The 13,034-nt window shown below is 34.4% G+C and overlaps 1 protein-coding gene across 3 annotated transcripts in view; it reads right to left on the bottom strand.

Moving 5' to 3' along the window:
- The window catches only part of IL1RAPL1 (interleukin 1 receptor accessory protein like 1), a 1,369,273-nt gene that overhangs the window by 277,238 nt on the left and 1,079,001 nt on the right, over positions 1 to 13,034 (bottom strand). For all 3 annotated transcript variants that reach the window (NM_014271.4, XM_017029240.2, XM_017029241.2), the window contains one exon: positions 10,977 to 11,051. In NM_014271.4, coding sequence (NP_055086.1) covers positions 10,977 to 11,051 — 75 coding nt within the window. The remainder of the gene's footprint in view (positions 1 to 10,976; positions 11,052 to 13,034) is intronic.

The raw sequence follows: 13,034 nt of genomic DNA, 5'->3' as shown, positions 1-13,034 counted from the left end.
ATACAATAAGCAGAGTGCATAAAACTAGTCTAATTGCACCCCAAATATTTCAGTCAAAAACAGGTACATTTACAGAAAGTAGTAACAACTTTTAATCATTTAATTAAGAAGTCTTAAAGTTGCCAAGATAATTGACATGATCATCATCAGAAATACAGGTTCATCGGAAACATTACATTTTTTTCTTTTAAGAAGAGAAAATAAAAAATATTTTGTTTTCTGAACTTTCCCTAAGCTATTTCACATAATGGTAATGGCTTCTTACTGAATATTCGTGGTAATAATCTCAAATTTTCCTAGGACCTGCCGTATTGTTAAGTATCCTGTTCCTAGTGATGGCTTGATGTGACAGGATGCACTCAGTTTTATTTTTCCAGAAAAGCAATGCATTCTGCTTTGCTTTTTTCCTACTCAAAGAGCCGCCATTCTATAAAAGTTCTTCAACAGGCAAGTCCAAGGTGGGTACTCTGCTTTTACTAAACTAGAAACAAACACTCAGAGAGTGAGAAAGTCGGTAGCCTCACTGGGGAGAAGTGGAAGGGAGAGAAAATTATTCACTCTCTTGGACTCTTAAGCAACTTCCTGGCTTTTTGTCATGCTTGTTGTAGACCAGATCTAGCGGTGGGAGGTATCTTCTCACAAGACCATGAAGCCAAGACTTATTTTAAAACAGATTAATTTTGGAAAACAAAAATTTTTAAATCAAGATTGTTTTCCTTTCATAATTCAATTAGTATATGTTATAATGAGATTTTATAAATTTTTATTACAAAATTAAATAAAGATCCTTGGCATTTCTAAAAAAATAGTGTTGGCCGGGCGCGGTGGCTCACGCCTGTAATCCCAGGACTTTGGGAGGCAGAGGCGGGCAGATCACGAGGTCAGGAGATCGAGACCATCCTGGCTAACATGGTGGGACCCCGTGTCTACTAAAAACACACACACACACACACACAAAATTAGCCAGGCGTGGTGGCGGGTGCCTCTAGTCCCAGCTACTCGGGAAGCTGAGGCAGGAGAATGGCGTGAACCCGGGAGGCGGAGCTTGTGGTGAGCCGAGATCGCGCCACTGCATCCAGCCTGGGCGACACAGCGAGACTCCTTCTCAAAAAAAAAAAAAAAAAAAAAAAAAAAAAAAGTAGTGTTGAACTTGTGTGTGGTGAATTGGAAGGAAGCCTCTTCATGAAGTTTTGCTATGGGGCTTAGGTTTTAAAGCCTTATGGACACTCTATGTATTGGACTCATGTAAATATCTGGCATGTTTCGGAGCACATGTTTAAGTACATTTTGGTAATAGCCTCATTCATAAAGCTGCAAATCAAGTGGCATTGTACATACTTTTATATTTAAAAGAAATTATTAAACATATATGAATACATTAAGATAAAAAGAAGTGACTGCCAGAATGATAAAATGAGAGTCATACAAATTTTAGAAGAATCAAAATACAAGATGTTCCTTTTAAACCTGGAAATAAGAACTCTCATCACAGTTATAGAAAAACAAGTGACACCATGGGCAGTTATCCTACTAGGGTATATTTCAACAAAACCAAGGCAGATAAGGTAGTAGGATGGCGTTCAAAGCATATCCCTTATGAAAATAAACTATTTTGTCATAATTGGACATGAGATATTCTGGTTACTTAACTATTCTACCCTACAAAATATATTTTCAAAGAATTAGATTAAAACCAAATACTGTTGATTCTGAAGCTGGTGAGTAAAATGTAATATTTCCTCAGAGGAGGCAGAAAGTCACAATGAGGACATTTGTTTCCATTAATAAACAACGGGAGGTCACACATGGTAATGGGTGGATGATCCTTTTTCTGGATCAGTTGGAGATGCAACTTGCAGTTTCATATCGATGAACCTCATCTTACAAAAATGTAAAAATCTGCATTACCACAGGGAAAACTTATGGGGGTGATCATTCAGTTACAAAAGGGTTCTTATATAAAATTATTCACCACAGAGTTTCTTTAAATAGCATATTTCCTTTATGCATATAAATCTTTCATTGATCATTAGCTGCTTAAAAGAGAATGGGGGACAGAGCCTCTTAAACCTGACATGTTAAGCCACTGCTAATCGAAAATCAATCAAAAATGAAGGGAACACTTCTCTGAAATGATGATGATTCAATTTACCCACAAATCTGTGGGAATATACTAAGTTGATAAAGTAAGGTTTGACAGGAATGCTAAGTGTTTTAACATGAAAGCATAAAATACTGGTAACCTATTTTCATAATCTTATTGAAGCACTAGTTATTTTTCATGGAGAGTCTGCATATAATTTAGAAATCCTTAGTTATTTAGCTGAAATTTGAGAGGAAATTTATGGGTGAATGTATCTCTTTATATTCAAACTTTAAATGATGTGGGTCTTTTTATAGTTTCTATTTTAATGGACATCAGTCATGCAGTGCATACTCTTATTCTAAAACCTCTTTCAATATTCTACAACGTAATGTTCTTTGATAGGTTTATTTCTGATAAATTGGCATTTACTTTGCAAATTCAGGAGTAGTTCTTGTTAACATACAATACTGACTGTATTTTTATATGCTAGTAAACTTCAATCATTAAGAATGACTTAGAAAGCTTTGTGATAACAGTGTTTGTCAGGGGAAAAGCAGCATTTTTTTGTATAAAATGATATGACTATCATCAAAACCTTCATGAAGAACTTGACAGGCATAATGGTGGAAAATTATTTTCCAGGTCTCTTGTTTTTAAAAATATTATACCTGAATTTCCTCTGTTTACAAAAGAGAAATTTTTTTACTCTTATTTTTGTCTTGATGGTCATTTATAAATTCATGTGGCATAGTGTCCTTTAAATTATCATTTTCTTTAAATAAGAATAGAGATAGTTTTCTTCTGTTATAACTATGTACTTACTATATGCATTTGGCTAGACTTGATGAATTAAGTAATCTAAAATCAATAATTTCTATAATTAAAAAGTTTCATTGAAATACAAAAATTTAGTATGCATATTGAATCCTTAAAGGGGAGATGGAAATAAATTTTCTAAAATCTTATTTATCCTGTAATGAAGGCTGTATCTGCTGCCATAGTATGATACTGTAGTAAGAATATAAGCATGATCAAATAAGCATTGACATTCAAAATGCATTTCAAGAATCTTCTATATACAGTACTCTTTTACAGCATTCAAATGTCTCAAATACTAACAGCAAACATGTATTGACTACTTAATATATGCCAAGTAATCTATTAATTTTTACATGCATTATCCGATCAAATACTCACATTACCTCCATAGAAGCAGTACTATCTTGGTACCTTTTTTATTGATTAGGAAACTGAAAGCTGGTTGTTCAAGGTCACACTAGAAGTAAATGGTGGAGCTAAACTGTCACATAGGCCTGTGTGAGATTTCAACTGGGAGCCACTACTGTACACTGCCTCTTAATTATAACAACAAAAACACTAACAGTGATAATATGATGATCATGAGGATGATGATAATGGCAATAACAAGCTTTTGTAAATTTTTTATGTAAAAAACATGTAGCCATTTTGAGTCTCCATTTTCTCATCAATAAATGAAAAAGGTTTAACCGGGTGTGGTGGCTCACGCCTGTAATCCCAGCACTTTGGGAGGCCAAGGTGGGTAGATCACGAGATCAGGAGTTCAAGACCAGCCTGGCCAACATGGTGAAACCCCGTCTCTACTAAAAATACAAACTTTAGCTGGGCATGGTGGCGGATGCCTGTAATCCCAGCTACTCGGGAGGCTGAGGCAGGAGAATCCCTTGAACCCAGGAGGCGGAGGCTGCAGTGAGCCGAGATGGCGCCACTGCACTCCAGCCTGGGCAGACAGAGCAAGACTCTGTCTCAAAAAAAGGAAAAAAAAGAAAGAAAAAGGTTTGACCTGATAACTTCCAGACCCCCTCCACCTCCTAAAGTTCTTCATTTAGAATTGCAAAGATTTATACCTATATAGCTTCTTAACTGACTGATAACAAATAAAATAGTACTCTTAGTGCTGCAGCAAAAGAGTAATCTGCATAATATGTGTCAGTGTCCAGCGTGGGGACTAGACCAGGAGTTGGAAGCTTAAATGGACTCTCTGCATTGCTCTGTGACAGCACTCTTTCTTGGGCCTTTTCTTTCTTCTTCTTTCCCTTCTGGCCCTTTTGGAAAGTAAGTGAACAAGAAAACTCACTTGTCTCTGTCCCAGTTTTTAAAGACTTTAACAAGTGCTTCATTGTAAATTTGTTTAAATTCGTTATAGATGCTGGATATGAGACCTTTTTTGTCAGATACATAGTTTGCAAATACTTTCTCCCATTCTGTAGGTTGTCTGTTTACAAAGAGCTAAAAACAGAACTACCATTTGACCCAGCAATCCCATTACTGGATATATACCCAAAGGAATATAAATCCTTCTATCATAAAGACACATGAATGCATATGTTCATTGCAGCACTGTTCACAAGAACAAAGACATAGAATCAGTCTAAATGTCCATCAATAGCAGATTCGATTTTTTTAAAAAGTGGTACATATACACTACAGAATGCCATGCGGCCATAAAAAGAATGAGATCATGTCCTTTGCAGGAACATGGATGGAGCTGGAGTCCATTATCTTTAGCAAACTAATGCAGGAACAGAAAACCAAATACTGCATGTTCTCACTTATAAGTGGGAACTAAATGATGAGAACACATGGACACAAAGAGAGGAACAACACACACTGGGGCCTACCTGAGGGTGGAAGGTGGGAGGAGAGAGAGAGAGAAGAAAAAAATAACTATTGGGTACTAGCAGCTGGGTCACAAAATAATCTATACAACAAACTCCTGTGACACAAGTTTACTTATATAACAAACCTACAAATGTGCCCCTGAACCTAAAATAAAAGTTTTTTTAAAAAAGTGCTTTAACTGACTTCCAAACTTTTGGATATCATTGGCCCACTGGAACTGTTCTTACCTTCACGTCCATCTTTTTTATGGGATTGCAAACCTGTCCTAGAACTAGGGCTTGACCACTTAAAACTTTTTTTTATTTTTGGAGACAAGGTCTCGCTCTGTCACCGAGGCTGGAGCGCAGTGGCACAATCATGGCTCACTGCAGCTTCAATCACCTCGGCCCAAGTGATCCTCCTACCTCAGCCTCCCAAGTAGCTGGGACTACAGGCGCATGCCAACACACCAAGCTAATTTTTGTATATTTGTAGAGATGAGGTCTCACTATATTGACCAGGCTGATCTCAAATTCCTGAGCTCAAGGGATTTGCCTGCCTCAGCCTCCCAAAGTGCTGGGATACCAGGAGTGAGCTACCGTGACTGGCCCTGACCACTTAAAACATAAAAAGGAATTTCAACTTCTACGTAGATAGCAGTTTTTAAAGCAAACATGCAGTTGTATTTTTTTCCAAACCTATTTCTCCTCTCTGTCACCAAAAAGTGACTGAATTTGAGAATCTGAGAGAATCATGTAAGTTAGGTCATACAATGACCTCAAAATACGAATACTAGTTTCCATTTATTGATTTATCATCTGTTTAATGATATACGATAATAACTGAAATAGTGGTATGACAAGTATTCCTTTTTAGGTCAGTCACAATTTTTAGGGTGCTTTTTGGTTTCAAAAGCAAGACAGACTAAGAGAGCTGTTAAGAGTTACCACTTTCATTTACCTTGGGATGATAAATTTGGATTGAGTAGAATTGAATGCCATAGTTTAAATAATTATAATACCAGTCTTTATTTATCTTTCCATGGTTTAATTACGATGTCTATTTGTCCAAAAGGTTTAATTTATGTCTAACAGGTTTATTTCAGGCACTAGAAATATGCTGATTGGTATGTCTTTCTTAAATGGGCAAAAAGAACCACATTTTCCATAAAAAGCTTGGACTTGGGATATTATTGTTTTTCTCGTAGTAGAAAGGGAAGTTTTACGGTTTTTTAATTTGAGTTTGTTGGTGAAAATATGTCCTTTATATGCTCTATGATCCGGTAAAATCAAATCAATGGCCTTACATTTGCTTATGACAACCAGTAGCGTGAATGTAGATGAGAAAATCTGGCCGATACTGACTTTCCTATCTCTGGGAACTGTCATATTTACATCACTTGTACAACTCAGCAAAACAATAATGTTTAGACTCAACAGTATTACATGACACTTTCAGAATTCGGTATCAAATTCAACACCTAAATAATGTTGTTTCTAGGATATTTATATTAAGTATTTTCTCACCCTAGAGAGGAAACAAAAAGATTTCCCAAGTTTACTAACACAGAGTAGTAACTATTCAGAAAAGGTGTGGTCAATTATGATCTGTAATAAAATGTATGGACATTTTCCTTTGGTCTATTCCAAATCTAAAATTCTGCAACTACAGTATGGTGGAACAAGCCAAGGAGTGCTAATTAATTTCTAGTGTGACATTTTATTTTAAGTAGCCTATAGTTAAACTGGATAAAATTGCATATATTGGATAAAATGTGTATCCTTTTACTAAGATCTATGTTTAAAAATCTGAAGTTTCTTTATGTCCCCAACCATTTTCCTCCAGATGTGAATATCTGGTGAATCCTTATTACCCACTCAGATACAAAAAGTGCTTGCTTTTTAACAAGCTTAACAATGAGAATAAATTAGTAAAGAAAAATAAGAGCACGGTTGGGCAGCTTACACAGTTCAGTCTACACATTATATTCTCTTGCAGAAAATTTAGAGGTGTGTGTCCTTTGTGCTGTGAAGAACTTATTGTCAGTTAGTATTTATTGACATTCCATGTGCCCACAGTACATCACGAAATTACTGGGCACTTTATTAAGAAACATAGAATCTGGAGGAAGGTCCTAGCTGAGCATTAGGATGAGCAAGAGAAGAAAATGGATAGAGATTATAGACATTCGATTAGGTTTGTATATTTTCTCAAGGGTAGACATTTACCTAAATGGGCTAGATCTTTCAAATACGGATAAACTCAAAGAGCATCCACTTGTACTTAATGAGTGAAGAGAGAAAAAGAGGTAAAAGAGAGGAGAGAGAGGTGATTTTAGTATCAAAGAGATCTTTAAGAGTTTTATGTTATAAAGATATACTTTTATTAATTTTGTTAAAGATTAAGTAGTATTTATACTTATTACATACTTCTGGTGGGAGTTTATACAACTTCTCTGGTAAGAATTCTGAAAATATGTACTAAGAACCTTTAACAAAATTATTTCTTTTTACCCAGTATTTTTACTTTTAGGAATTTGTTCTGTTGAGATAACTATAGAGTCAGAGGGAAAGTGTATAGGTAAAGACCATCACATTATTTATAATAACAAAAATGTGAAGAATTCAAATTTCCAGCAATATATATGAAATTATATGACATTCACATCGGCCATTAAAAGGATATTTTGTGAGAATATTTAATAGGAGCAGAATGCGTTTATAATGTAGAGTGTAAGAAAAAGATTCTTCTCTCTATTTCCCCAAAATTTCTACCATTAACCTTTATAATTATTTTAAAGACAACACTGACATTTAAATAAAGTGATACACATATCTAGGTAAGTAATTAATGATAATTTTCAGTGAATTCTGAGTTGTAAAATATAATTTGTACCATTAGGTCAAGGGTAGGGTGGATTTCTACTCTTTGAAAGTCTGGTAGCGATAGAATATGCTCTCTGTCCTGGACGGTTCTGAAAGTGGGCTCCTGGCCGTAACAGGCAGGCCACATCTCTGAATGACATCCTCAGGGCTCAGGTTTAGCAAGACAATTGTGGCTGTCTTTTGATTCTCTTGACTATAGTAGCCTGAAAAAATACTCAGGCTCACCTCCCAGATTGACTTCCAGAACTGTACAGTGAAATTTCTGGGCCTTTTGCCCAAAAAAGTGCTATTCACATATTTGCTGATGCCTGAAAGTTATGTAAATGGACAGTGTTCTTTTTTTTACATTTAGAAATAACATACAGTTGCCACTTAAAATGGAAATGCCAGGTTGTGACCACGTATTGATTCAAATTCAAAGCCGACAATTTACATATTTTATATGAATTTAGTTTCCATTATATGATTTTTTCCTAAGTACTTTGCTTTTAGTGCTTTTTGCTTTCTTTCTACAATAAAAGAATTTAAATGACCACTATCAAACCCTTTCCAGTTTGAAAAGATGGAGGAATTAGAAGAACAGGACACAAGAAAATACAGAAATATAGAAAATGGGAAAGGTAGGCACGGCTAGCAAATGGCAGAGAAAATGAATTTGAAGATGAAGAGCAAATCCATGCACTTCCTGATTATATCAAAGTTCATTATTAATGAATTACATATATTTGTGAGCAAACTAGAGAATCTATGGACACACAGTTACTAGGGTTGATTGGATACGTGTGTAACTTAACTAGGATGCTCAAGTTAGGTCACCAGACATGTACAAGCTTAGCTTTGTGTAATTCCTGATGATTTTTCTTATAACGTAACTCTTACAAGAGTTTGGTTATCCCTCTGAGGTCAACTCTCAATTTGGGAACAAGTGGAGGCAAACCTCTGAATACTTGGACCGTAAAATTCTGTTGAAGGTTTTCAACAGAGTAGGTTATAAGTTCCCCATCATGGGCGCAGGCCACCCTCTTTACTCCCAACCCGTGACTCTTCACTCAGTCCCTCTTAGGATTTATATCATATTTTGAACCTGTTGAATAGGCAGTTTTGTCAAATATGGAAAGGGCAAAAATTAAATCCTTAAGAAAATGAAAAGTCCAAATACATATTTTGGAAAAAACGTATATTTTAGACACCTCATCTCAAGCCTTTTTTGTCTTTAATATTCTTTCCTATTTTCACTTACCCTTTTTGATTCACCTACTTACTAGCAATGCTAGCAAAGTAGCAAGAATACTATTAAGGTAGTTACTTCAAATCAACTGTTGCTCACAAATCCAAAGATTAAGGTTGAATTTCTCTAACTAGTAAACGACTTATCTGTACACTATGAACCAAAATCATAAAACACAACAAAATAAAAGTTGCTTAAAATAATCCACTAGTTTAGTCAGTGGTTAAAGAGACCTCATGCTCCTTTTTGAGTGACAATAAAGGATTTAAGAGTATTTTTTGAAGCATTTTAGTAACAGACATGCCCATATTTCTTCAAATGAATGTATAGTCACTTCCAATTTGCTTAAGAAATTTCCATATTTTTAATTTGCTGTGGTTAGTCTTTGTGACTTTGTTCAAGAGAAGGTAAAGCTTTAAATACAGCTTTACCAATTATTCTATTTTGTAAAACAGTGTAGTAAGAGGTAGAGAACAATCTGACTTATTACAAATTCAAGGACAGTAAAAAGAAACCCAATGGGCAACAATCAACCATAAAATTCTTTTCATTATATTGTCAAGCAAAGGCGTACAATTAATTTCATTTTTACTATGTTCATTATAGTAACTGGTACCATAAAACCCTCCATTCTCGGCCCAAAATGTTTAATAGTTTTATATAACTCCTTAGAAATACATCTTCCTATGAATTATTGAAAGATCAGTATGAGCATGGCTACTTATGGGAATTTATAAATAAAAATGTATTCATAATGTAGCAATAAGTTCTAGTGTAATTAAGGATGCCATGGCATGCATAAAGTGCATGATAAAATTTGAGTACACCTATTTGCTTCATATGTGGCACTGTTTCAATGCTATCTGTAACCTTCCATCTCAAAATAACAGCAATTATAATACTACTTGCATTTATATGACATTAATTCAAAAGGCTTGAATCAAAGAAAGATATTAACACCCTGACTTGTATAAATCCTGTATGTTCATGCTTTAAACTTAGCAAATATAAGCATTTCAAGTGCTAGAAAGCCATTGACCACAATAATTTTATAGGTGCTAAAACCATCATCATATCTTTGTGTACTATAACTTTGGGTATGTTATTAGTAAAGATTATCACATCTGTAATCTTCATTTGGAAAATGAATTTACAATTTTGATGCAAATTCTCACTCCAGGAATAAGAATAACATTAATAACTTAAGGGATGGTATACTGATTCTTTTTAGTTATATACAGTACATGCATTTTCACTCTTGTATGATTAATCTAAGAAGAAATTCCTTAACAAACATGGATATTCATTTAAATTCATATTTTTGATAACCTTTTATAATGCACCACTACAAACAAAAACTCTTCTGCCAAAGTTTATGGCATATGCCTGCATACTACATTTCAAATAAAATAAGACCTAAGAGAATATAACAGAATTGCTATGTATATATTTATAATTAAGAGGGAAATTTTTCATAATTTAGTATAACTGAATATAGCTAAATCAAACTCAAAATTTCTAGATGAACCTCTAAGATAAGTCAGAATTCTGATTCGTATATAATTGTACATTTTTTCAATACATATTTTGTCTATAGCCTTATGTCCCAAATCTGCTAGTCCCTTAACCAAAAGTCACTTGGTCATATTTTATTAATAGATTATCCAAAATATAACTAGCAAAATTTATATTATATTTGATTACACTTAAAATGTTTTTTAACCATAATGGTGACATTTATTTTAATAAATTTGAACCCTTTCCCCTAAATTTCAGAAATTGCATCTTAACCTATTAATAGATATTATAAATCAAATTGTTCCATAGTGTCTGTTTGAAAACCAATTCAAACCTTGTAAGACAGTGCTGTAATACCATCACTAAAATCATCAGCCTATCTCATTTTCCAATAACCATCTAAATAGCATGTGAGTTTTTACATCCATATGTCCAACTGGGTCCTAAGGCACGCACTGTAAGGAATGAAATGGCTAGGTATGCTAGCATTTTCTAATTCTGTTCCCTATGAATACAAATGGATTTAGCTGCGAGTATTACATCGGGTTACAATCTAGGCTTATTAACTGTCACAATGTAACGAGAGCAGCATATTAACTAGAATTAAGGAATTACTCACCCAGCTGGGTCTCCTGAATTGTCAGTTTACTTTCCATAGGATACAAAAGCTTGGGTGGCTTATCAGTCAGAGGGGCTGAAAAACAACAACAATAATAATACAGAGACTTATAGTTATGCTGCATAAAACTAAAAGATAGAATACAGTCTATTTTCCCAAATATTTTTCACTTTCAAAGTAGTGTTAAAGTGCTCTACCAAGTAACGATGAACATACTGCAGATAACACCTTCAGGCAAGCTGAAAAGCTATTAGATTGTACGTGAGTAAAATATAACACTTCCAGACTGACAGTCACATGACACTAATGAATTAGACCATCAGGATTGGTCAGTCCTTGTGAACATATAACTGTGTTTCAGAAAGCATTTTCAATTTGTTCTTTGTTTTACTTTTAATGGGATGTCCTGCATTTTTTTCTGTGTTAATTAAAGCTACACATGATATATGTGGCATGTATTACAATGATTTTTTTTGGCATAAATTTATCTCATTATTCTTAATTCCATTCCTAGTTTCCATATCCTAGATCACATCATTTCAAAATCTGCCATTTAGTTATTACATTAAGTATTTCCTACATACATAATCTAAGTGAGGTAGATATGGCATTAAATTAGTACAAGCATGCACACCCACACCAAGGGAATATTTTAAATGATATTTTCCATTTAGTCTAAACTCTTTCTATTATCCGTTACATTTTATAGTGTTTATTGCTAATTTGCATGATATACTCTCTTCGATTTTAAGCTTCTACACATTTCTGCTCTGTGCTCTCGTCAACTTCAATTATCAGCCCACAAATCTAAGAGTTTGCCATTAGAAATCTTGAAGATAGGTTTTCCATTGCATACTTCATTCCTAGCTAAACTAGACTATATCTGGACTTTAGTTAGTCAGCTCTCCTTCATCTAGCCTCCTCACTCTGCCCTGCCCTCTCTCATCGAATTGCCTAGGTCCCTTGAAACCTGTCACCGAAATTTCTACTCTGTATCAAGTATATAAATTATCATTTAAGGATTGCTAAACTAAATGTTTTTGCTTTGAGGGCTTTCTTTCTTCCTTGCCAAGAGGACATGCCAGCTTGGTTGATAACTGGAAGGCTAATCTAGGCAGAATTGCCAAGAGTTGGCCACATATACTTATCACCAGAGGGTTCAAGAATTCAAGCTTTAGCAGCTTGCCTCCTCTTCTTTTTAAAGGAAAACACATTAAGTACAAAGGAATGACATGCCCCAAGTCAGAGAATAAAAGGAATGAGTTTTGAGTTTTAGTTTGGAAGAACAACCTCATATATGATTGATAGCTTTTGTTCATAGCTCATGGAATAATTATCCATTCATCTTTATTACTATTTAACAAGAGGACAGAAATAAAGGGCAAAGGAAAGTTTGGGTAATAGGATGAGATCAATCGCTTTGAAATTCTTCTCAAAGATATGATATCACTCTGATTAATCTTTAATACTCTTATTTCCTGCCTAAAGTGATCTTAATGGATTTTATTTTTCTACTGCCTAAATAATCAGCTTATATTCACTAAATATTGGCAAAATAGTTTGCCATTAATAGGTTGGAAATCTACATTTCTTAGACTCTGGTTATCAAATGGTTTCAGTGAATTTCAAAAGCAACTATGGTATCTAAATAAGTGTTGTATTCAGTAAATTATGTCAGTTTATATAATCTTGTGACTATGTAGTTACAAGTAGACGACTTGACAGTTTTTTACAGAAAGCACCTGAGAGAACTGTTCCCTGTTCAAACGCATACCACATTAGTTTGCAGTAAGGCAAAAAATAAAGATCTACAGAGAAAGATAATAAAACCCGTATGCAGTACATTTGTTCAGAAATACAAAACGGTTTTGTGGTTCTCCATCATAACCCACCACCCACTTGACGGCATAATGTTACAACATCCTTAACATCTTTCATATTACTTTCATGTGGCAAACTAGATGTTAGTAAAGGAATTCTTTAAAGCTCAGTCATGGAATTATAGAATGTTGAAGCCAGGAAGAATTACACGGTTATTAAGTTCTTTGATTTGGAAAC

The sequence above is a fragment of the Homo sapiens genome, chromosome X, assembly GCF_000001405.40.
Source record: "Homo sapiens chromosome X, GRCh38.p14 Primary Assembly".
Taxonomy (NCBI): Eukaryota; Metazoa; Chordata; class Mammalia; order Primates; family Hominidae; genus Homo; species Homo sapiens.
Note: the sequence above shows the minus strand (reverse complement) of the source record. Positions and strands in the feature narration are given on the sequence as shown.